At 37.1% G+C, this 27355-nt stretch overlaps 2 protein-coding genes across 2 annotated transcripts in view; both read left to right on the plus strand.

The window, feature by feature from the left end:
- Window positions 1–5583, plus strand: part of RBM27 (RNA binding motif protein 27) — an 85619-nt gene extending 80036 nt beyond the window's left edge. The window contains exons 20-21 of the mRNA NM_018989.2: window positions 982–1092; window positions 2307–5583. Of these exons, the coding sequence (NP_061862.1) occupies window positions 982–1092; window positions 2307–2390 (195 nt within the window). The 3' untranslated portion in view covers window positions 2391–5583. The remainder of the gene's footprint in view (window positions 1–981; window positions 1093–2306) is intronic.
- RBM27-POU4F3 (RBM27-POU4F3 readthrough) overlaps window positions 1–27355 on the plus strand; it is a 138124-nt gene that overhangs the window by 80036 nt on the left and 30733 nt on the right. The gene's annotated exons all lie outside the window — the stretch shown is intronic.

The raw sequence follows: 27355 nt of genomic DNA on the forward strand, positions 1-27355 counted from the left end.
ATTTAGACCCTTCAAGGAATGGTGGGAATTTTTCCCTTAGAACACAGGACGATGTCTGTGCAGGCAGTAATGGATTTATGAGTCTGCTCTAATGTACATTCTCACCATGCTATGCTCCAAGTGTTTTATGGAAACATTTGGCAAATGCTTCAGGAGGTTTAGCAATGATTTTGCTAGATAGACTAGAATGAAAGCCCAAATAAAAAAGAATCTCTTCTATTATGTTTTTTAGAACCCCCAGTTCTATAAATGAGGACCTTTGATAGGAAAGCTATAGGGATGGCTAAACTTCTACTTTTCTGAAACTTTGGATCCCTAGTCCCTTGTCTGTGTTGCTTTGTCTTTAAAATTTGCTTTCCCCTATTGGAATTTGCTGGGGAGAAAAAAATGTTTAAAAATTAGTACCAAGTAACATTTGAAATGGAGCAGTTTTATGAGTTAGGATAGTATTAGGCATTTGTTTAATGTTTATTGAATGCATAGATGAGCTGGGAGGTGCTTATTAGTGTATAGCGTTTCAGAAGTGGAAATAAGAAGAACTTTATCCAACATAGGTGGGGCTGTGAGAGATGCAGTGAGATGAATAAGCAGATGATTCACCTTTTTTCTAAGGTTTGAGTCTATATATGTAGATATCAAAGCCAAAGGTCAATACCTGTATTAAGAATATTTCTTGTCCTCATCATGACTTTTGTAAGTAGAGCAACTCTACTTAGAAAAAAAATTATTTCTTCAACCAAGACAGATGCTAACATTTACCTGACACAGATATAAACCATGGGTTATCCTAGGCAAACCAGAACATATAGTTGCTCTAATTAAAAGGGACTTTATTTTTTTTAGCTCTCATTGGAGATTGTAGATCCACCTTAACAGATTTCTCTCCTGCCCTATGTTATACTTTTTAAATAACACAGAATTTGCAGAAATCATTAGTAAATTTGAGTGCAAACTTGTATGTTCTTCTAATATATATTTTAGACCGCAAACCAAGGGCCAAAATTTAAAGACCGTCGGCTACAGATATCATGGCACAAGCCCAAGGTACCATCTATATCCACTGAGACTGAAGAAGAAGAAGTCAAGGAGGAGGTAAATTTAGTGGTTGGAAATAAGAGTTGAATTAGATCACTTCTCAATTATGTATTTTTTATGATATTAAATAGTATAAATTAAAAAATGCTGGGTTTTTCTTTCATGCATGCAAATTAAGACCCGTTTAGATGTTTATTAGAGAATTAAAACAGGTCTAGAGATATAAGAAGCTGTGTTAGGGGTTATTTTCTTCTGATATAGGAAAGACTGTTCTTTTTTGTTTACATTTATATTGGATTTATTTGAGCTCTAGAAATTTTTATTCTGATGAATAAAGTCAGAGATTACATAAATGAATTAAACTTTAATTGGTTGGTTTCACTTTTTGTTTATTCAAGTTCCATAGTAATAGATTTGAGTTTCTTATTTTCCTTCTGTGTACAATTGGTTAAAATCAGAGTGTGCAGAAGTTGAACATAGAGGAGAGAATTGGAAAACTAAAGACCTAAATAATAAAAGTACTGAATAATCAGCTTCTTAAAATATATGAGAATTTATTTTGCTTTTTTACTCCTGTTGTTTATCATTAGTTTATTTAGTGAACACTTAGGCTATATTGCGAGGTTTTCCTGATTTATATGACAATCTTGGTTTTAAAAGATACCTAGCTAGCATTTATAGTTTGATCAAGTGTCTTCTCACTATATAGGTAATTTTACACAGCAAAAGCAGAAATGTTCCCTAGATTAAAAGAAAAACAGAAGTCATGGTATTTGGGTAGTGTTTGCAGATACATCTACTTTGTCTAAGATTTTAGATTTTTATATAAGATTTGGAATATCAGTGTCATGGGGAAGCTAGTATATTCACCTCTCACAAACAATTGGATGGATATAAAAACAAAGATTTAGGTGTTTGGTCATTTATTTTCCTAATTTTTTATAGAATAAAATTAATTTTAATTTATCAGAAATGTATCTCATAGTCTTTTTTAAATTTTCTGTACTAAATGTCCACATTATTTTCCTGATGATATTAGAGTAGAAATCTCCTATTAAAAGTAGCAAAATTAGCAGGGGAGAAGAATTCATATTCATTTACAAAAATATTTTGGGCTTTTTTTTTTTTTTGCCCTGAAAGATACTCTTGCATGCATCCCTTATGAAATCTAGCCTGGGCTTTGTATACTAGCCTGTTTGTCCTTTGGCCTAAAAAGTATTTTACTTACCATTCTTGTGCCACTAAGCAGATTTTAACCTCTCTTTCTTCAGGAAACAGAAACCTCAGATTTGTTTTTGCCTGATGATGACGATGAAGATGAAGATGAATATGAGTCTCGCTCATGGCGAAGATGAAATCTGATGCTAGCTGTATAATTTTTAGGAATATTGTTTAGAAGAACAACTTTTAAAAATTATTTAAAAGAAGTCAATGAGCCAAAAAAAATTTTTTTATTTTTCTTTTCAACACAGTAGGTTCAAGAACAGCAAGTTTGCTATTTAAACACATCTCATAACTGTACATGATATTAAAGCACCAAAGGCCTAGTGACTTTTACACAGTTGTGAAGATCCACAGCAATGACATGGATAATCTCTAGAGCCTTATTTTCCACACCACCTTTTTTTTGTTGCTGTTGGTGTTGGATTATGATGTAAATGACAGGGTGTTCAGAAATTTTATTTTGGATTATAATCTACTGATAAAATTTAATTAAATGTCAAAATCACCTGTAATCTTTTAACTCTCAGTTGTTATGGATGGGTCATCAGACAGTAGGAAATATTTGTAATTAAAATACCCTTTTGCTTTCAAGAGTGGTCTTGGAAGAAAAATATGTTTATTTTAATTTTAATTTTTTTTTTTTTTTACTTTGGAGGAGCCCAATTTGTATTCAGTCTAAATTTGTTTTTCATGGTTTTTATGTGTGGTAGTACTAGTTCAGTGAAAATCACAACAAACTGTGTGTTCTTAAATGCTACAGCAATGGTAGCTAGCTCTATAGTATTTCCATTCTCTTGTCATATGAACTCCTGGACTTTTCCTGCTACTGATTCTTAGTTTGCTTTGATATTTAGTGAGCGCTGGTTCGGCTGGTCTTTTTAAAAATTTTTATAACTCAGAATGTAAAAGGCTTTCACCTATTGCCCCTTTCTCGTCCCCCTTTTCTTCCTCTTGCCTTTCTATTAATAGGCCTGACTTAGTCATCATTGATATAAGTGGTTCATTTGGGCAACCGCAGGCAGTCTCCAATAAAAGGTTCAAACCAGCACCTGGATAAATAAGTGATGTTTTGATGAGAATGATGGAAGGATTTTGGGGAGAAGAGAATCACCAGCTTTATTTTTTCCCTCTTTTGAAGCTTCAGTTCAGTATAGTTACACAGAAGGGTTTAAAAATGTCTGAAATTCTTTTCCTAAATTTAAACCATGATGGTGAGGTGACTGGGGGGTGGGGGGTGGAGGTGGGAGGGGGTTGAGGGCTGAGTATGCTAGTAATAAATGGGAGTCATATATGACTTTGTTCAGATGACCTTATTTTTTCATAATTTTGTAGCTTGTTGCTATCCATGAACATACGCATCCCTCAGTAGACAGTTTCCTTTACTGTGTGCATTTTTACTGTACACTGTATAGAGTAGAGTATCTGTTAAGTAAAATATATATGTAAATTTATGTCTTCGTGTTCTGAATGTTAGATGGAAAAGCAGAGGAGCAACACTACACTGTACTGACCCCTGGGAAAATAAAATGATTAATGTACCTAGGCTGTCACTTTTTCAAGGATATACACATCTGTGTTTTTATATATGTGTGGTATGAAAATTTGAAACCTCCTGTTGTCTCCAAAAGGGTCTTGGTGACCACTATATCAAGGATTTTGTTTGCTGAGGTAAAGACAATTTCTCAATATAGAAACTATTCACTAAGAACTTAAAACCATCAGGATTCTAGATTTACTTAGCTATAAGAAGTTAAATCCCACGTTCTGATAATCTTTATTCTTCTACATGTTTTCCTGGAATGATGTGTCAAACCAGGGTCATTTTTAAGTTCATATAATTTTCTTTCATAATAATGAGGACTTCCTTTTTCTAGGTTATTGTTATATTTCTAGTAACACTGAAGGTAAAATAAGCTTATAAAAGAAGGAAAACATCAGAATGGTGTATCTAGAATACACAATCTTGCTCCTTACTCCTCCATCATCTCTAATGAAATTTTTCTTGATGTCTGTGGCTCAGTCAGTATATATTTTGAAAGATTCATTGTGGTGAATATTTTGAGTCCTGACAGTTTAAACGTGATAGAGGGAACAAAGGATTTATATATTTTTTGTACAAAGTTTTTTCTTAAACTGTATAATTTTGTAAATAATTTGTTTGGGTTTTTTTTTTGTGTACTAAAACTACCAGCGTATAGATTTCAATAAGAATTGTTGTATTTTTGTATTTGGAAACTGAAAATTACAGTAAATAAATGGAACTCTAAGAAAAATTTCAGTAGACAGTTCAACAGAATGAGATTCCTTTTCATATGATTTTTTTGACCTCAAAATGGACATCTTATTTCACTCTCAGTAAAAAGTTGAAAATTTGACTTTTTAGTATTGGGGGCAGAAGATAGAAGTGTGTTAAAGTGAAAAACAGTTTTTTCAGTAAGGTTTGAGGCCCTTTCTATAAGTTTTCAGTACACCTTAAACAGGACTAAAAATACTTTAAAAGTGTGCTTTCAAAGAATTTTAAAACATGTTTGACTCAAAGATGAATTTGAAGTGAGTTAATTATAATACTGGAAAACTTCAGGTTAGCATAAAATAGTTTATATATATCCCCTGCCCCCTTTGGGATTTACTTCCACCATCAAATCTTCAACTGTTAGAATTTCACTTAAAAGTGAATAACTGCCATACATGTTTTCTTGGCATCTTCATTTACAGAAATAACATACAGCATCTAAAGCAAGTTCTGTCCCTCTTAATGTGTATGACATCTTTTTAAGTAGCTGATCAGCAATAATAGCCACCAGTTGACTAGGTCAGCCTGATATACTAGTGGATCACTGTCCAAGATAAAAAGGTAACCCCAAGTATTGCAAAATTTCCCTCAATTTCTTTATGTAACATTGAAGAAATGTTGTTACCAGCTAAGATGATAAATTGGAAAACAGTCTTGTTAAGGTGAAAGGGGTCCTTGGTGATGGATCATTATTTCAAAAAAGAAAAAAATCATGTGAAAAGGAATAGTGGTTCCTCTTGATGTATAGTATGCCTGTATTATAGTTTTTACAAAATTGTGAACTTGTGTAATAGTATAATAGGAGATATTGTTGAATTTCTAACTGTTTATACATTTAAATTCATATATGTAATGTTTGTTTTATCAATTACAATCTGAATTTCTAAGAAGCATGTTGACTTTTGCAATAAAGATGCAATATGGAATGGTTCACAATTGGAAAAAAAAAAGAAAAAAGATGAAAGTATTACAAATTTAAAAGAATTTGGAAAATTTATGAACCATTCCAAAAATTATAACAATCACCAAAAGAGCTGTAATTCTGGCTTGTTCTGGAAAGAAAGAAAATGTGTGTGTATGCTTGCTTGTGAGAGTGAGTGAGTAGTGGCTATGTATGTGTGTTTTATGTTGTGTTCATAAACATGAGAGAACATCACTCAATATGAAGTTGGGTTCGAAGTCACTGGCTATTAAATATTAAGTAGGATAACTTTCTCAACAGAGTAGCCTGGAGAATGAAAGAGAAGGTATTAAAATGCTACTTGTAAGTAACCTTTGATAGCCACATTATTTTGTTCCTGGATGGTTCTTGGTATCCCAGATAAAAAAGCACAAAACAGTTTCTTGAAAGCAATTATTTTAATGTTGTCTTGAGGATATTCATTATGCCTGCCATCAGTAGGAGGGACATTTTCCTTAAGTAGAATAGGGAGAAGGGAAAAAACACCTAGAAGAGATGATTTAAACATAAATCAGTTCTGAATGTGACAAAGATTTGTAAGGACAAACGGGAAGATAGTGATGTTATGCACTAAGGACTGGGTGGTGATGAGAAAGAGAAGGGAAGTGTATCACCTGGTTTTCCCATTTTAAAAAATGCTATTATAAAATTCCCCCTCCAATGATTATGCATTGTTTAAGAAGGAACATTCTTTGAATTTCAGCTTATACAAGAAAATACTCAAAGAATGAGAGTAAAGTTATTTTCATTCCTTTCAAATAAAATTTATTTTATGTATTATGTAAATAGCAAATAAGCTGTTTGTCACCATTTGCTTTGAGTAGATCATAATTAATCCTAAATATATTTACAATAAACATTAGTTCTGGGACTTTTTTGGAGGGAGCAGGCAAATTCTGAACATAGTTATATCTATTGAACAAATCAAATGTTTTACTAAGATGGAGCTCTCATTAACAGAAATTAATGATTTTATGTGATATTTTTACTGATTTTGAAGTAAATTGTGCTAAAGCCAAGGATAAATTTTGAATAAGCCCCAGCATACAGTCAAATCTGGATCTAGATATGTTACCGTAAACACAGAATTGTGTTTATCAACATGTGGGGATATTGGATGATAGGGTTGCTTTAGACTAAATGGACCAACATTACCTTGCTGTGCAGAGCTGCTCATTTTATGTTCATTTTTAGTCTGAAAGACCTAACTTGAGAGACCAACCAAAATTGACCCAGAAAAGAAAAAAGAAAAGGCAATCTACTGCTACTGCTTGTATTATGAATCACCTTCATTTATGCTAAATTGGTTTTATTGCCAAGATCTCTCCTTTCAACAGGATCATCTACCATTTGGCCTCTTCCCTGTTCTCCAGTTGACCTTAGGTTAACTAAACCATTTCAACATTCTAAGATAGGCAATTTGATATGGGGTGAAATCAAGGGCAGAATAGTGTTGGATGATTGTGAGTTATTTGTGTTTCCATCTACTCTTAGGCTTCTGCAAGCATTTCTTTTTGTGGTGGTGGTGGTGGTAGTGGTGTTCGTTAACATAAGCACGATTAACATTGCTGTTACTTTTTCTTTGCAATTGTATTAAATTATTTTTTTGTGAAAGAGCAGCAAGGAAAGAAGACCGCTTAGCTTGTTTTAGATAAAGATAAGCCTGAATTTCTGACCTCACTTCCACTTCAGTTTTCTGACCACTTCATAGAGGTGTTTTTTTTTTTTTTTTTTTTTTTTTTTTTTTTTTTTTTTTTTTGAGATGGAGTCTTGTTATGTTGCCCGGGTTGGAGTGTAGTGGCATGATCTTGGCTAATTTTTGTATTTTTAGTAGAGACAGGGTTTCACTGTGTTGGCCAGGCTAGTCGTGAACTCCTGATCTTAAGTGATCCTCTAACCTTGGCCTCCCAAAGTGCTGGGATTACAGGCTTGAGCCACCACCCCCAGCCAACTTCATAAGAGTTTTACTAGTTTGAATATAGTGACCTACTAATTCTTAAAATAATATGTAGAGTTGGAGTTCAGGTTTAGCACTTGATTGTTCAAAATTGTAATTTACTCAATTCTTTGAAGGCAAATATAGGGGCGGAAACACGCCTTTTCAGCACTTAGCCATTTCTGTTGATTAAATTCTTAACACGCCTTTGTAAAAACCTTATAAAGATGAATGTCTTATTAATAGTTTTCTAAAGTCCTTGTGATTTTACTTCTTAGTTTGCCTCCAGACTTCTATCACTGTGAGATACTGATATATTTCTTCTAATTTTAAATTTAATTTGTAAGGGCTAATACCTTGCCAAATTAATTTTTTCTTGAGGATAATTTTGCTTCAAGATTGAGACTATTCACATAGTCAGTTCGAGTTCTTAGACCAAACGCTACCTATTTATCTATGTAAACATGTATTCCTGCATAAATTATTGAATGGTAGTTTCTGAACCACCCTCCAACAGTGGGGCTATTTATTTACTTTAGGATTTACGTTATTAACATTTAGAGCCTGTAGGGGGCTCCAAAGGGCAAAATTTAGTCTTGGAACAGGGACTGAATCTTTTTTCACAGCAACTCAAAATGAGACACCTTTTGCATTGCAACCCAGTATACACACACGAAACAAAAGTTTACAAAACAATACCTACCCAATATGCACCTGATATTTTCATCCTATTAGATAAAAATTCTTGTCAGGACCCACTATATGGCTTTCAAAATTACAGTTTGGAAAAACAGCCTATTGAGTTGCCTGATGGAGTGCATTTTAAAGTCACTGTCTTCCTTGCCGTGACATTGTAGAAACTATTTTGAATATAAAATGTTATTACTTTATCTTCTGTTTTTCCTTTTTTTTTTTTTTTACTTGATGTTTTTTCTTGAAGGGTATTTTGTAGTTTTTAATTTTAGAAGCAAGACAACTCAGTGACGTTTTAAACTTGCCTACAGTTTTATATTTTTGTCATTACTTGTCTTGGGAAGGGAGTGGAATATTAATATATTGGTGCTACATTTTATGCAATTCAAATCACTCTGCAGTACTTATTTGTATATTTTTTAAAAAGCTGTGAAGTCCATAAAACTACAGCTCTTTCTTCTTTTTTTTTTTTTTGAGACGGAGTCTCGCTCTGTGGCTCAGGCTGGAGTCAGTGGCACAATCTCGGCTCACTGCAACGTCCGCCTCCCAGGTTCAAGCAATTCTCCTGCCTCAGCCTCCCGAGTAGCTGGGACTACAGGCATGTGCCACCACGCCCGACTACTATTTGTATTTTTGTAGAGATGGGGTTTCACCATATTGGCTAGGCTGGTCTCCAACTCCTGACCTTGTGATCCACCCGCCTCGGCCTCCCAAAGTGCTGGCATTACAGGCGTGAGCTACCGTGCCTGGCCCACAACTACAACTCTTTAAGGGCTATAAATCAATAAAAGATTATTTGGCTTTGAATTAAATTTTGCACTTAATTTAGAGTTCACTTAGCCATCAACAATTTAAAGTGAACCAATTTTGATATCTAAAAATATATATTCTAACATTGTGCCATTGAATTTCACCTTTTTCAAACATATCCCTATAAGTTTATAAGAAATGTAAGAAATAGATAAGCCCTATATAAAACATAACTAACTGCCTTTGCCACTTTTCTTACTCTTGGGCAAGTGTGTCACTTGTCTCTACATGTCTGACCTTTCCCAGCTTCTAAAGTGCAAAAAGAAAGATTGGGGACATGTCCATAAGAATATTCCCATATCTTCAGAAATGCAAAGGAGAAAACCATTAAGTCTGCAAAGTAGTGAAATCAGAACTCATCATGGAGTTACAAGTTACTAACACATTTCAGTATTTCTACCCTCTTGTCTATGTACTTTTCTTTTGGAATTCCTTAAGCAATAAAACCTGACTTTCTTATAATACCATGGTACCAAACAAATACTTTGAATTAACCTGATTGATAATTTTCAACTCACTTTGAGGAAATAACTCATGGACTGAATGCAGACTGTGACCCAATTAGTGGAGTGAGTAGTTTGCCTACATTCTGTGCTTACCACAGCCTTTGAGGAAGGTGTTCTTACCACCTTATTCAGCTTTGAAAACAGTTTCAGAGAGATAAAGTTGCATTCCTGAGGTCACACAACCTTGTAGTGATGGAGTCAGCATTTGAACACAGGTCTGACTCTGGAGCTCAAGTTCTTAACCTCTGTGCTCCACTGCTTCTAATAAAATAGAATATTGCAAGTCTGTAGAATGTCACTGGTCTTTTTTATTAGTGTCTCAAACACTGCCATTCTGGCTCCATCTATCTCATCTGCCTTGGATTGGAACCAGACTCCCTTGGGGAGCAACACTGTGTTTTTAGGTAGCATATTGGAAACCACAGAGAACAGTTTATTTATGTTAATTTGTGGGGGAACATTTTAAAGTAGTAATTTTCTGTGACCTCCACAATGTACAGCCAGCCAATTTGATACATTTCACAGTAATTTGGCTATATCATAACCTGTGTTATTTTGTTTTCAATTTTATCTTAAATGTTTTTTTCCCTGTGACAAATTGAATTATGATAATCTTGCAGTATTTCTACCTTGCTTCTTTGTGTTTTTCAATATTTCTCGTGCCTTTTTCCTTTTAACTTTGGCATTAAAAAAATCACGTACATAAATAAGTTTACATGCTTTAATGATGTTTTCATATAGAACACTGAATTTTCTAGACAAAAAGTGCTGAGAATAGCAGTGTTCATTTATAGTTATGTTTATGCCATATTTTTAAAAAGTATATTCTCAGTGAATAAAACTGATGTTCATGTCATTGTTCTGTTTGGGGAGTTGATTTTTTTTACATGTTCAGATTTCTTAGATCATTCCAAATCTTTGTGGATTTCTAATTTTTGCTATTTGGAGAACTTCAAAATGTTTATTGACTTGTAGTTGTTACGGTAATAGTTATCTGAAAAAAGAAAAAGATGTAAGCGGCCTTGAAGAAGAGGGGACTTTTTATTCTTTGACAGCCCATGAGAAAACTAGCCATGTTCTAAGAGATTGAATGAAAAAGTTTTTTATTCTTGACAAATTTTGTAGCATTAGGGAATATTTCCAATATGAAAATTGTATCAGGGAAATTGCTGAGACAAAAGAGAATGATTATAACATCCTGGCCACACAGCACATGTTTTAAGAAAGGTATTTCACCCTAAAAATAAAATCGGATTATGTCGTGTGCTTTTTTTTCCTCTGTGAAGATTCCAGAAGTATGTCGTGTGTTTTTTAAAAATTTTACTGTGATCGAATGCTAAAAAAAAAAATGCATGTTATTAAAGAGTTTTTCAGCATATTTTGCTTTGAAATGTTAAATATAGGGAAGGAAGAATTTTATATTTTATACGTAGAAACTTAATTTCTTAGAATTATAACTTTATTTTTTGAAAATTTTCTACCAATAACTTTAAAGCACTTTTCTCCCTGATTTATTTAAATCCTAATAAATTATACATTTCTGCACTTTAGCCATTCATGTGGAAATTATTTGGAGTCATCTCAATAGAATGGTGCTGTGTGGTCTCCCAAGGCCCCCAAGAATGTCAAAGAAGTTTCATCTACTCTTTGTTTTAAATTTTCAAGTGAATATTATTGATAAATTAGATGAAGCTGAAGAAAAGTCTAGAGATTGAAGTAAATTATTAAAATCTACTTAAGAGTGAGGACTTACATAAGAACTCTTTATGGAAAGCTGTACTGAGATCCTAGTATTTTTGGAAAGCTATTTGTGAGTTATAGACACCTGTCAATTTCTCAGAAATGGTCTTATCTGGAAAAAGAAAAGTAGAACCTAACTGGTACATTCAGACGTGTTCAGAGAACTTTCAATATTGTAAAAACAACATAGCATATTTTGCCTCGTCTGTTTTACAACCATGGAGGATTGCCTTTTTATTCATTTTGAGGTTTTGATTATCATCACTGGCAGTTTTATGCTTCATAGACTTAGGGTAGCAGAAGTGGTAACAGTAGATGGCTTCACTTGTCTTTCTTTCAGCATGGCCTGCATGAATCAGAATCCAAAGAAAACCAGCACACTTAAAATAGAAAAATTGCACTTTGGGAAGCTGAGGCAGGAGGATCACTTGAGCCCAGGAGTTTGAGACCAGCCTGTGCAACACGGTGGAACCCCATCTCTGCTAGAAATACAAAAATTAGCTGGGTGTGGTGGCGGGCATCTGTAATCCCAGCTACTTGGGAGGCTGAGGCAGGAGAATCACTTGAACCCAGGAGGCGGAGGTTGCAGTGAGCCAAGATCATGACACTGCACTCCAGCCTGGGGGACTGAGCGAGACTCCATCTCAAAAAAAGAAAAGAAAAAAAAAAAAAAAGGAAAGAAAAGAAAGAAAAAAAAGAGAAAAAGAGGAAAGGAAGGAAGGAAAGAGAGAGTACAATGAATTTTGATTGGTCGGGTCATCCTTTACCATTCTTGCCCAGAAACATGGATTTTTGTATGTGTGTGTGCCATAAATAAGAAATTAAGAAAACAGATGAGACGGTAAAATATTCCGCACACAGAAGCACTTTAATGACTGTCGAGTAAACGACTTAAATGAAGAACCAGGAGAGAGAACGAAGAACAAGCTATCTCTCTGCCTTTTATTTGGTTAATTTTCATTTCATTTCACCACAACTTTAATGGTGCTAAGAAGAAATTGTTGAAAATTTAGAAAAGGAATTGTGGAAGTTACTACATCACAATATACTTGCTTTTTTTTAAAAAAAATAAAATTAAGCCTTGGTTTCTTTAAGCATGGTTTCATTTTCATTCAGTGCTTTTTTTTTTTTTCCCTCCATGCAGTACTTTTATGTCCGCACTCTTTTTTGTTTGTTTTTTGAGAGAGTCTCACCCTGTTTCCCAGGCTGGAGTGCAGTGGCACAGTCTTGGCTCACTGCAACCTCTGCCTCCCGAGTTCAAGTGATTCTTGTGCCTCAGCCACCCAGCAGCAGGATTACAGGTTTGTGCTACCATACTTGGCTAATTTTTTTATTTTTTGTAGAGACGGGGTGTCACCATGTTGGCCAGGCTGGTCTCGAAATCCTGACCTCAAGTGATCCACCCGCTTTGGCCTCCCAAAGTGTTGGGATTACAGGTATAAGCCACCCCGCGCAGCCAATGTTAGTATTCTTGACCTGAGAGAGGGATGGCAAGCAGAACTCAGGGCCCGCAGAGCTGATGCAGGTAGCTCATCTCCCACACCTTGGGCATTTCTCAGCCATAAAATGGTCCGTAGAGCCTTATGATCAAAATAAGATTGTTTACCATGTCATTGCTCATTATGTGACTCACTGTGCTGTTTCTTAAACATTATTAAGTTTCTTAAACATTATTATTTAACTCTGAGGTATACTATTATTTTTCCTTTTTTGTGCAAGAGGAAACTCGGGCATAGAGCAGTTGTGTCACCGATAGTCTCAAAGCAAAGCCAACAATTAAAACCACGTTATGCCTGACATCAAAGTGGGGCTTTTAACCATTGCTTGATACTGTGCTCACATCTCAATTCTTGCTACTTGTGAGTAGGGATTAGTCTTTTTTGTTTTGTTTGTCTTTTTTTTTTTCGTTTATTTGGAGACAAGGTCTCTCTCTGTCATCCAAGCTGCCTGGTGGGAGTGCAGTGGTGCTATCACGGCTCATTGTAGCCTCAACTTCCTTGCTCAAGTGATCCTCCTACCTCAGCCTCCCAAAGCACTAAGGTTACAGGTGTAGTCACTGCACCTGACCTTCTTAGTCTTTAGAAGACTCAGTTTACTCATATAAAATGAACATTATAATATTAGTACCCATTTAATGTTCACAGGGTTGCAATGAACATTAAATGGGAGTTCACTGAAGGTATTTTGTGAAATGTACATCACTATTAGCAGATCTAAGCTTCATCAGATTGTCTCGAATTATTTTCAACTGCAATTGAATTTTCTACCTTGGTTATTAAATCTTGTGGGATCACCTAAATAAATGTGTAAGCAATGTTGAAGAAAAGAGAAAGGTATACTGCATACCTGAGTTGGCACCTCTATATTTCTATAGTACTGTACACCATGATAATCAACTAGATAAAGACAGCTATAGGTAACGACATTTTCTAATCCTTAGCAGTTGTAAGTACACATTGCATGTAGTCATGAGTTGCCTCAAATACAGCATGTTTTAACAGTCTTATAAATCACTTCCCAAGATGGTAGAAAGGGCTCACTTTCCAGACAAGAATCCTTTCTTGGCCGAGCGTGGTGGCTGACACCTTAATCCCAGTACTTTGGAAGGCCAAGGCGGGTGGATCACGAGGTCAGGAGATCGAAACCATCCTGGCTAACACGGTGAAACCCCGTCTCTACTAAAAAAAATACAAAAAAATTAGCCGGGCATGGTGGCGGGCGCCTGTAGTCCCAGCTACTCAGGAGGCTAAGGCAGGAGAATGGCATGAACCGGGGAGGTGGAGCTTGTAGTGAGCCAAGATCATGCCACTGCACTCCAGCCTGGGCGACAGAGCGAGACTCCGCCTCAAAAAAAAAGAAAAAAAAAGAATCCCTTCTTACCAGTTTTCCTTATACCACATAAAAGCATAAACACTTCCCTAGTCTTGAGCTCTTTGTTCTGGGTGTTTATTTAAGAGAGTCACTTCAGAATCCCCCTTACTGGCTGTTCTCTTGTCTGTTATATGATCTGCTCCAGCCCAGTAAATCCTTTAGTGTGAATCCCTTAGTTATAGAAAATGAGATCTTTCCTTTCCTTAACTATTCTGTGGCTGGGCACGGTGGCTCATGCCTGTAATCCCAGCATTTTGGGAGGCCGAAGTGGTGGGATCGCTTGAAGTCAGGAGTTCGAGACCAGCCTGGCCAACGTGATGAATCCCTGTCTCTACTAAAAATACAAAAATTAGCCTGGCATGGCTGCGCATGTCTGTAATCCCAGCAACTCAGGAGACTGAGGCAGGAGAATTGCTTGAACCCAGGAGGCAGAGATTGCAGTGAGCCAAGCTCGCGCCACTGCACTCCAGTCTGGGAGACAGAAAGAAAAAAGAAAAAATTCTGTAAAGCGTGTATACTTGTGTAAAAAAGCTGACCAATGAATTCTGCTATAGAGTGTGGCCAAAGGAAAACAATTCAAATAGAAAATTGGATGAAACTATTTTGTGTATAGAGTAGATTTGTTTGGGGGACACTAGAATAGCTATTGAATAGATATATCATTAGTACAAAGTATGTGAAATAACTTCACAAGTCATTCATGGATTTTGTGTTTCTGGATAAAAGGCAGAAAAAAATTTAAAAGGAAGCTGTCATTTTCTTCATCTTGTAACTTTTATAAAATTATCATTCAAATGATACACACTGAAAATAATCATTATTAAAACTATTTAACATTTCTTTTTTTAGTGAGTTCTATTATAACCATTTAAGCAAATGTATTGATTTATTGAACATCCTGGAAGATAAAAATATTTTAAACACGCAAATGGAAAATAGACACACTTTTTGTTTGGAAATGATGAATCTGTGCTTGTTTCCCCTCCTCCCTTCTAACATGCCACACTATTAAAGTGACCAGAGGGAGACTTTACTTACTTTTATTTTTTATTAGATTGGTATTTTTTCCCTTTTAAAAATTTCAATAGCTTTTGGGGTACACTTGGTTTTTGTTACATGGATGAATTCTATAGTAGTGAATTCTGAAATTTAAGTGCACCAATCACCTGAGTAGTGTACGTTGTACCTAATGCATAGTTTTTTTTATCCCTACACCCTTTTCATCCTCCCGCTTCTGAGTCTCTAAAGTCCATTATATCACCCTGTATGCCTTTGCGTACTCATAGCTTAGCTCCCACTTATAAGTGAGCACATAAGGTTTTGGGTTTCCACTCCTGTGTTACTTCATTTAGAATAATGGCCTCCAGCTCCATCCAAGTTGCTGCAAAAGACATTATTTCATTCCTTTTCATGGCTGAATAGTATTCCATGGTGTATATATGGCACATTTTCTTTATCGGCTCTTTAGTCAATGGGTGCTTAGATTGGTTCCATATCTTTGCAATTGCAAATTGTGCTGCTATAAACATACATGTGCAAGTGTCTTTTACATATAAGTGACCTCTTTTCCTTGGGATACCCAGCAGTGGGATTGCTGGATCAACTGGTAGATCCACTTTTTAGCTCTTTAAAGATCTACTTTTAGTTCTTTAAAGAATCTTCATACTGTTTTCCATCAAGGTTGTAGTAATTTACATTCCTACTAACAGTGTATAAGCATTCCCTTTTCCCTACATCCACACCAACATCTATTGTTTTTTAACTTTTTAATCATGGCTATTCTTGCAGGAGTAAGGTGGTATGGTATCTCACTGTGGTTTTAATTTGCAGTTCTCTAATGATTAGTGATTTAAGCATTTTCTTCATATGTGTGTTGGGCATTCGTACGTCTTCTTTTGAGAAATGTCTATTCATATCCTTTGCTCACTTTAAGAAATTTTTATTATTTTTATACATTTATTTTAAATTATTAAATTAAGTAGAGTTGGGGTTTCACCATGTTGGCCAGGCTGGTCTCAAACTCCTTGGCAGCAAGTGATCTGCCCATCTAAGCCACTCAAAGTGCTACGATTACAGGCGTGAGCCACCACGCCTGGCCACCTTTGCCCACTTTTTTTTCTGTTTGTTTTTGAGATGGAGTCTTGCTCTGTTTCCTGGGCTGGAGTGCAGTGGCATGATCTCAGCTCATTGCAACCTCCACCTCCCAGGTTCAAGCTATTCTCCTGCCTCAGCCTCCCAAGTAGCTGGGATTACAGGTGCCGCGCCACCACACCCAGCTAATTTTTTATATTTTTGGTAGAGATGGGGTTTCACCATATTGGCCAGGCTGGTCTTGAACTCCTGACTTCAAGTGATCTGCCCGCCTTCGCCTCCCAAAGTGCTGGGATTACAGGTGTGAGCCACCGTGCCCAGCCCTTTGCCTACTTCTTAGTGGGATTATTTATGGTTTCTTTTGGTGATTTTTTTTGAGTTCCTTGTAGATTCTAGATACTAATCCTTCGTTGGATACATAGTTTGCAAATATTTTCTCAGAGAAAGACTTTTCTATGAGGCTGTTTTTATATCTCAATTTTATACTTCCTTAGGATATCACCTCTCTATTCATAACCTTTTTTTAAAAAAAAAAACCCATTCCCTATAGCAAAGGATACCCCTTTAAGAAGAAGGGAGGCCGTAGCCACATAGATTTCCTCCAGGATAGTCAGGGGCCCTATGCTTAATTCACAGGGAGTCCCTCTGCTTCATTTTCTGCTTTATTCTTCTTTCTTGTTGCTGGAGTGATTAACTTAATGTGACTACCCAGAAGCCAGAGGCAAAGTTGTTCTTCAAATTTCAAATCAAAACAGGATAGCAGGTGTGAAATTTTTAATAATGGCTTTATCTAGACTAGATCTGGAATATTAGGGGAGGGGACTTTTTAATATTACCTGTGGATTCCATTCTAACACTCCACTGTCACCCCAAAGGGTAAGCACCTGCAGGAAAAAGCCTATGTTATAGCCAACAGGACACTTTTTTCAGGCAACAAATGTAAGGATTATGTAATCATTCAAACTTTTACATTGTTCTAGCACTTCCTACTAGAGAATACAAAGATTACAAAGTTGCATTACAAAGTTATTGTAAATAAGATTACAAAGTGCATGAGAGACTGGGACTTTGAGGTGGGTAAAGATAATTTGCTATTGCTACTTCATGAATTGGTAGTAATACTAAAAAGCAACTCACACAATTTTTGAAGAACTTTACCACCTACCGCATTATGTCAGGAATAAATGAGTGTCATCTGCACATTTGTTTCAGGAGGGTAATAAATTATATGATAAACACAGAGGAAACATCCTTGCTATTTCTCCCCATACATGTTGACTTTGCATAAGCTTAGTGCTCAGGTTTTTATGAAAATTAACTCCTTTTTCCCAACAGAGGCTGGCAACACTGGGAAGAAGAGAAATTCTAAAATAGCTGCTTAATTTTCTTCCTTCTCCCACTACCTGGTTTATTTGTTATTTAAATACTCTATAGATACTTTAGTAATAGGTGCAGTTCTGGATGTTGCTTTTTAAAGGTGATAGTATCTGTTCTAGAGTAAAAATACCTGAGAGGAAATTGTGATAAGTGAAAGAGTGGTCTGGAAATCATAATTTTGAATATGTGCATAGGCACCTTAGAAAGTTTTGCTACCATGTGGCACAAGACACATAAGTATCACCAGTTTTGGTAGTCATCAAAATATATATCACTCCCCCACGTTTTTTTCATTTTTGTGGTTTATAAAGAGTCTGTGTTTCTATTTCAGATTAATTGCATTCTGCTCTGTGAGAGCTTACACATTTTTACAGACAATACAGCAAATAAGCATGTGCTGCAGATCAGGAATATGTGGAGAGGGAAATAGAAACATGGCCAGTGTGGGTAGAAAGACCTAAACGTTGCCATACAGCTGAGCAGCTCTTAGAATTCAGTTGGTCTGTGACCAAAAAACAGCGCCTGTTACATGGCTCATAGGTTTTGTTGTTTAATAAAACACAGAAGTGACACAGAAAGCTTTGGCTGCATGTGGATTTTGTTTTGTTAGTACAACTAATGGCATGTGGGCTTTGCCCAGCTCTGTGTATTTTCCCCACATTTGGATGAATGAGGTAATGTGCTACTTACAGGGAGCTTGGTTTTTGGTCATAGGCTGTCTTCTCTTTGTGGTATTTCTATTTTAATTTCACATCCTACCAGCTGCTTCTGGGATCATTGATGCTAAAGGGGTATGTTCATGGGGGTGGGTGGAAAAGAGGGAGGATGATATCAAAGGAATCTACTGTTCTTGTGTTGTTTCATGTCTTTATTTCCTCTACAACCTCCTGTAAGTCCAAGGCTGAGGCCATCCCTGTTGAGCAGGCAGAGAGGAAAAGGCATACGGGCATTAGGGAGAGGTCGACTGTGGGATGAAGGAGGACCTGTGCCAGCGAGGGGTTCTAGCTTGAAAGGTGAGACAGTCATTCTGGCTCATAGGAGAACATGCCATTGGCCCGCTGAAGGCTAGAGCAGGGTCTTGCTGTACCCCACTCGATATGTACTGCATGATCATGTGAGCAATACATGGTCATGATGAGCTAAAAATAGCCCCCCACCCCTGACTTTTTTCTGGTAAGCAAATGAATATTTCAACCACCTTTTTTAATGGACTATCAGTGGCACTCACTCCCTAGACTGCTGTAGAGATTAAACAGGATGCCAGTTTATGCACAGCAATAGAACTGCCTCTTCTCTCCATGCAAGAAAGCATTAGAGAATGCAAGTGAGGGAGAGAGAGTTCATTAGAAGGGATAACCTCAAATCCACCCTAATTTGTGACAGCGGATCTTTCATAAACAACACTCTTTAGGTCAAATGTGCAGTGACCCAAGATGTTAAGAATCACTGCCTTTGAACAGTAGCTTATGAAATGTGGGGAAAATACACAGGGCTGGGCAAAGCCCACATGCCATTAGTTGTACTAACAAAACAAAACCCACATACAGCCAAAGCTTTATGTGTCACTTCTGTGTTTTATTAAACAACAAAACCTATCATCTGGTCTCAAACTCCTGATCTTGAGTGATCTGCCCACCTGGTCATCCCAAAGTGCTGGGATTACAGGCATGAGCCACTGCGCCTGGACAATAAATATATTATTAAATATATATATTAAACTTCCCCAAGTGATTCTGGCATGCAGAATGGGAAGTACTTTCTAGAATCACTGATGTCATATACTGATGACAGCAGGCAGGACATAGGTGACCTTTCCAAAGAAGTGCAAAGACACACCCCCTGTGACAATTTGGATAAAAGATCCGAGTGACAAAAGTGCCATTGAAAGGACCTAATCCCCAGTCTCCAGCATGGGTTGGAGGCAGAACACTGGAAAAAGGACCAAATTTTCAAGCCATGCCTCCTGTGGCCCCTGTACTGATCACCACATTGATACCAACCGTCCTTCAAATCTCCCTTGGACTATGAAGGGAATTGTATTCTATTCAAAGGACTGTGAGAACATCATGACTAGGAATATGAGTTAGGAGGCAACCTAGAGCCTGTCACTATCATTCCATCGTGAAAGCTGCAGCTATACAAAATGTGAATTCTAGGAAACATACCCAGTATTGTCATTCTCATGCATGGACGATAATAAGGCCATCTTGATAATAATAATAACTCACAAAAACTCAGCACTTCTTTTGGACTGTCCTAAGAACCCATTTTATAACCTTTTGGGGTGGGTACTCTTATTATTCCATTTTGCCAGTGAGGAAGTTAAGATACTGAGAGGTTAACTTACCCAAGTTACAAAGCTAGTAAATGGTAGAGCTAAAATTTACGTTTAGATGATCTGGTTTCAGAAATGGCTCCACTTTAACTACTACTCCATACTGCAGATCACAGAACCATAAGGGGTGCTGTGATAACACCATCTTTGCAACTCCATAAAGGGACCAACAGATTTAATTCTGACCAAATTTGTATGGAGGCAGAAATAAAGGTTAGAATAATTTTGCATTTATAAATGATGACTTTAAAATTTACAACCTTACCATTCATTTAACATCCATGAAAGATGCTGCTTTTAGAATGTTTATGGAAATTGGACAGCTTTCTAAATGCTGTTTTAAAAAGTAGGATTCTTTTCATTTTCTAGCATTAGTTTTAGTCCCTATAAATTCAACTCCTATTATTATTGCTTACTATAGTATTTAAATACTAGAAATCATGAACAGAACTCACTCTGACAATTTTACTATGCTTTGCACTTTAAACAAATATTGTCTTAGGAGCAGTGATGCATTCACTGTTATTTCCTGTCATCGCCATACATATCCATATTTTTTCTATTTGTATCTCTTTTATACTCATTCTATTTTTCAAGATTGTCTTTATGAAGATACATCTGTTTAGCTTTGGTGATTAGCAGAAACATTAGCAGACCTACTGTTTCAGAGCATAAATAATTAATGGATGTTCCTCATTAATTTCTTCTGAGACTGACTCTTGTTAGACTACAGTTAGATATATTTCTTGAATTAAGATCAGATATAAGGAGCACAGACTCTCCACCTATTTTGAAAATAGGCCATTTACTTTTGAGGGAAAATTATGACATCCGAATCCATCAGTGGCAATAAAAGAAAACCTGTTTTAATGAGATGCAACACATGTCTTTTGTTTGTGAAGGGCCTTACATCACAAGGTGTCCATTCTATGATTTGTTTCTTTAATTCTCTACACAAACCTGCCTTTTAATCAAACAGATTCAAAACACCAGGATCCTGCCTATTCCTGCACCTGACCTCCTTCCTCCCTTTGCTTTGTAAAACAGCCCCATTTCATTGCCTGCTGGGGGTCCGCTCTGAGTTGATATACATACAGTGGAACCTTTGCCCTGGTTTAATTTTTAGTTTCCACCCTTAATATTTATTAATATTACTATTATAAAACATCCCTTTTAAATAATCTGTTCACAATTAATGAACAGGCTATAAAAATATAGGTTCTGAGGCAAATAGCCCAGTGAAATACTTCGCTTGAAGGCTTTAGCCTAATTCATTGTTAGGTTTTCTTCCAAGAAAAAAATCAAATGCGCATCAGTGTTTGTTTGGTTCTGACACATAGAGTAGGTAAAACTTACCTGCCAAATGTCAACAGAATGTCTTCTTGGTCTTCCCAGGGATCTCAAGAAAATTGTTCAGCCTAGCTCTAAACTGGACTATACTTCACCCAAACAAAGGCAAATTGTGGATGGTTTAAAAACAAAACAACAAACTAAACTAGTAGAATAAGTGTATTATACAGAAGTGGGTGCCTCAAAGGTAGTGCTAAAGTGTCATATCTCCCAAATGTCTGTGCTAAAACTCTGAGTAATGGCAACCATTGCAGAAAAGAGAAGCTGTATTTCCTAGAAATTTTCTTGGGCATACTGGCTCCTGAGGATTTATCCCAAGGTAATAATGCCAGGTATTAATGAAAAATGTCTGTGTCATCCTGAAGGGCCAGCAGTAGCAAATTGATTAAATAAATTACAGGAGAGCAATATGATTGAATAGACCCCACCAATTATAAATAATATTGCCATAATAAAAATAGCTAACTTTTTTGAGGACTTGTCAGGCATAGTGCTAAGTGTTAAATAATGATTTTAAAGAATGTTTTTTAAAAAGTCTCATTTAGTTTTACAATGATCCTTAAGGTACGTATTATTATGCCCATTTTACAAAGAAGAAAAACAGAAGCACGGAGAGGTTAAGTAATTTGTCCAGGATCACATAGTAAAGAAATGGCAGAACTGAGCTATGAATCCAGGTAAAAGAAAAATTTAAAAATGGTCCGAAGGGATTGTTAAAGGAGAAAAGGACACTATAAAACTGATTATCCAGTAAACTTGCATTTTAATTTTGAAAAAGGTAGGTTTTTTCACTAGTGATTATGTCATCTTTCTATTTTTAAAATTAAAAAAATAATTTTATATTTGAGACAAAATTGGGTTGTATTTGATATAAAACATTTTGGCTATTTATAGTTCTACACTATGATGTCTACTTGGTGTCTACTTAATGACAACAAGATGACATTCCTTCCCTTGAGATTGCTGTCTAAATTCAGTAAAGAGCAGGCAGCTTATTAAAACAAAAAAAAAGTCTAGAAAAAAATACAAAGCCCTAGTTTGCTGTTACATTTGTTTTGACTGTAATTTAGAACTGATGCATAAAGAAAAAACTAGGCAATGACTCCTAGATGTCTAAACAACTGCAATGTACCCTGCAGATTGTGGCGGAGAGCCTGCCTGGCAAGAGTTAGATAAAGGTATACAACAGGAAAAGTGCTCACTAGTGCACTCACAACTCAATCCCAGCATTGGTTTCTTTAATAAATGGAGCCATTAAGTTGCATTGAAGTGAATATACATTATTAGTATCGCTTACCATGTTTATGATCCACTCCATATCAAAGTGACATAAAAAGCAGAGTTAGTACCAATTAATATCCAATTGCTCATCAAACTTTAATTTGTATTTGCTTTCCCCTGATTGATACATCTTTTATAACTGAAAGGCTCCATCTCTTTATAACATATGCTATCATTCAGGGCCACTTGTTGTAATCACTCTGCAAACCAGCGTGAAATTGTCTAATAATTCACCCAGGTTTTGTCACAAGTGCCTGAAGTTACAGCAGTCTTTTAAAAGGAGCAGCAGTCTTGCTCAGAATGTTTGAAATTATTAAAACAGCAGATCAGATCCTTGGCTAGAAAGCAATCTTTTTTTTTTTTTTTGAGTTGGAGTCTCACTCTGTAGCCCAGGCTGGAGTGCAGTGGCATGATCTCGGCTCACTGCAGCATCTGCCTCCCGGATTCAACTGATTCTCCTGCCTCAGCCTCCCAGGTAGCTAGGGCTACAGGTGCATGCCACCATGCCCAGCTGATTTTTGTAGTTTTTTTAGTAGAGACAGGGTTTCACCATGTTGGCCAGGCTGGTCTCAAACTCCTGACCTCAAGATATCCACCAGCCTTGGCCTCCCAGAGTGCTGGGATTATAGGTGTGAGCCACCGCACCTGGCCAAAAGCAATCTTGTCTGATTGATTAATCAGATGATGATTTTTCAGAGGCATGAGGTTTAATTGTTTTTACACTGATTGGTTTGGATTTTGGTAGCACAGTTGCAGAATAGAATTAATAGTAGGTTTTGGAGGAAGGTTGCAGTTGAGAAGTGTCACCTGTCAGCTTGGCTGAGCAACAGCAATTTTCAGTGGTTACTCATCCACAGCCAGTGCTAATTTGGATTGGACATACAGTGAAACAAACAAACACAAGCACTGATATCCTTCATGTTACCCTTTAACAGGCCTTCTGCAGATAGTGAATTCAGAATCACTCAAGAGTCTTTATTTAGTCTGGCTGTTGCAAAGGCTTGAGGGTTATCCAGGGCATCAGATGGAATTCTCAGCACACAGTGGGACCTACGAGACTCTGGACCTTCCCTCTGCAGCAGAGTCAAAGCAAACCTTCTCAGTCGTCCAGGCCACGTCTGTTTTAAAGGCTCCTAAATATACATAAAATTTTTTCAGAAAAAATACTAAGATGGAACTATGAAACTGGCATATTTTAAATCCTCACCTTAAATAATGTAAATGCTATTTGAATTTAAAGAAAAGGAAGAAAAGAAGGAAGACAAGTGAAGAGGGAAAAGAATAAGAATGACAGTGACTTTAAGTATAACCTCATTTAGAGAAAAATCTCAAAGATCTAAAGGTCTGGCCCCAAAAAGCCTGTCAGCCAACCTTTGTGGTAGGTCCCAAGCCCTAGTGAGCTTTGTTTGGAAGGATGGAGGCTGGGCAAATGCCTACATTCAGTGGTGCATCTGAAAGGGTGGTTTCTTCATCAAAACTGTAATGAAGAAGGATTTGGATGAAGGTTACATTCTCAGTGCTCCTTTTACATTTCCATCCTACAATTGGTGTCTGGGTGAGAGTATCTTGTGGGAGGGAACAGGCAAACTGACAGCATCCAAACCAAGCCGAAGGCATCCCTCACTCTCCCAACTAGGAAGCAATGGTATGGTTGTGAGAACACAAATCCTAGAGGCCTGCTTTCAAATCCTGGCTCTGCACCTTCCTAGCTGTGAGAAGTTGGCCATGTTACCAAACTTCTGAGCCTCAGTTTTCTTAGCTGTAAACAGAGGATAATAATGACACCCTCCTCCCCGTAGGATTGTTATGAGGATTAAACAAGATCACCCTCTGAAAGCACTGGGCACAGTGCCTGGCATAGCATAAATGTTCAATAATACCACTAGGTATTATTACAAAACGATTACTGGCTGAGCTCAAGCTTACAGAGCCAGGAATGTGGATATGTGGGAAGCTGTGCTTTCTTGCCTACTAGGACAGCCATTAACAGCCAGAAGCATTATGTTATCCAGGAAAACCCAAAAGAGAGCACTCACTTTATTTTTTAAATCATGAAATATTTCAGACTGCTATAAAGTTTAGAAGAGGATATAACATACACCAAAGTTACCCATCACTCAAGAAATGAAATGTATCATGAGCAATAAAATGCTATGCAGTTATTAAAATGAATGAACTAGATCCATGTGGATAAATCTCAAAAACATAATGTTGATCAAAAAGAGCAAGTGGCAATAGAAGGCATATAATGTGATGCCATTTATATCAACTTTATAAACTTGCACAGTAATGCTATGTATAAATTGTTTAGTGATGCATGCATAGGTAGTAAAACAATCAAGACATGCAGGGGAATGATAAGCAATGCTTGTCTTAGGAAAGCTTTGAAGGATGGGAGCCCTTCAATTCTCAGGTGTCCTGGCTTTGTTCTCAGCAGGGCCTAGGTCAGGAGCTCCTCTCCCTGCTGTCTTTACACAGATGTTAGCCCCTGTGGAGGCAGAACTCCAGGCAAGCAGTGTTAAATACACTGAAAGCAAAATTCTCCCTTTGACTGTACTCGGCTCCCATTAAAGTCCAGGGGCGCTCTCTCTGCAGGCCTCAGTCTCTTTTTGACGCCGCGATGCCCCCTGCGCATCATGACGTGACATATCCAACCTGAATTCTGAAGGTTGGATGTAACATAAAAGCAGCCAACCAACAGCATAAATGTATATGAAATGAAATCAATAGAAAGTGTATTTTTTCCTTCTATTGAAGCTACTCCTGCGAGGGTACATCATAGGAGCTAGGACAGTGCTAGAGAGATACTAGCAGCAGGCAGGAGGCAGGAAGGGTGTGAGCAGGGGTGGGGGGAGCAGTGGAGGAGGGAGTCAGTGTTCACATTCACTGTGTGAACCAGGGCTTAGTGAGAAACCTCCTTGCTTTTCCCTCATCACTTAAAAAACAATCAATTATCCATGCTTCTGTGATAAAATAGAGATTTCTGCTTTGTTCACTTCATTTTAGCCTAAGAGGTCATGGCGAAAAAGAATGAGTTCTGAGATTGCATTTTCTGTCGCAAAAGGTTGATAGCAGATTATGAATTCATGATAAAATTAAAAACTGAAATCAGGCAAAGAGAGAAATGGTTTTGTTCATGCATTTTTTTCCCTGCTAGCTTCACAATGGAATTTTTATATCTCATAATAATAAAATTCTAGGCATTGCAATGAGTCCTTTGCATCGGTGATTTCATTTATCTCTCATGATAGACATACAAAGTGGTATTAGCATGCTTACATGAAACCAGAGGTACGCTGTAAGCCAGGATTGAACTCAGGGAGCCTGATTCCAAAGTCTGTGCTCTACTTGTCACCATACAATATGCCTGCCCCGACTGAAATTCGTGCTGTGAATAAATGTTCTTTGTGTACTAACGAAGTAATCTTCAAACTGCAGAAACTTTGCCACAATGCTCTATTGCTGGCAGGGCCTTGAGAATGATCTAACATGACCCTTTCTATCTTTTTTATTTTATTTATTTATTTATTTATTTATTTATTTATTTTCTGAGATGGAGTCTTGCCCTGTCACCCAGGCTTGAGTGCACTGTTGCAGTCTCGGCTCACTGCAACCTCCGCCTCCCGTGCTCATACGATTCTCCTGCCTGAACCTCCCGAGTAGCTGGGATTACAGATGCCTGCCACCATGCCCAGCCAATTTTTGAATTTTTAGTAGAGATAGGTTTTCACAATGTTGGCCAGGCTGGTCTCGAACTCCTGACCTCGTGATCCACCCTCCTCGGCCTCCCAAAGTGCTGGGATTACAGGCGTGAGCCACCGTGCCCGGCCCGACCCTTTCTATCTTAAAGCTTATTTTATAGGTGATAATGTGGTCAGGTAGTTGACAGGGGACCTCTTCTCTAATCCCCCTCTTGTTCTAAAATTGCTACAGAGGTCAAATTGATACCTCTTTCTTGGCTCTTGCCATCACTTCTCATAACTCTCCTCTCCTTTCTCAGGGCTGACCTCTGCACCTCCTTATATTACATGACCCTGTCCATCTCAGTCCTCAGGTGATTGGACTGTAGGTGAACACCTAACCTTGGGGAAAGCAATCACTAGTGGGTAGAATCAGCCAGGCTGTCTTCTGGGAATCTGGACAAAGAAAGAGAGAGTTGAGAAATAATGCTGTCTCCTTTCTTAATCAGAGTGATGCTGTTTAGAAATTCCTGAAGTCATCAGCTTCATAATTACATCCTACAGATCTGCTCTGTTGATTCTCAGCCTAGAGCAGTTTGTATATGTTGCCCCATCTTTGCTTCTTTTATCCCCTTCTCTCTTTTCAGAACTCTTTACTTGGGAGTCACTAAAACTTTTGCTACTACCACATCTTCATTGCTTTGGGGGATGTTTTGCAGGATTCCAGCTTATTTTACATTAGTTACACTTCAGAATGTTTTTCTTCTTATAGCAGATGATAGTAGAGGGGACTCATCTTAATCTCAAAAGTGTGCTATTTTTTGGAGTTGAGTATTATAATACACATTGATTTGCATTCATTGCATTTTCAGTGAATAATAGATATTTTCTGACCTCTTGTCATCAGCCTCCAGGCACACATTTTTAAAATGCACATGCAATTATCTGGTGTCATCTTGTGACTTTGCAGTGAATCCAAGGGCTGGATGGGAAAGTAGTCCATAAATGAGGCTTAGTATCTCTTTGGGTTCCTTGGTTGTGACAAAAGAAATTAAGTGTAACTTAAACAAAAAAAAAATTTACTAGAAACATGCAGAAGCTTACAGAATTTAAGAAAGGCTGAAAATCTCAAGGAACGACAGAAAGCAGACAGTTCAGAAGGAGCAGGAATA

The sequence above is a fragment of the Homo sapiens genome, chromosome 5, assembly GCF_000001405.40.
Source record: "Homo sapiens chromosome 5, GRCh38.p14 Primary Assembly".
In the NCBI taxonomy this organism is placed as follows: domain Eukaryota; kingdom Metazoa; phylum Chordata; class Mammalia; order Primates; family Hominidae; genus Homo; species Homo sapiens.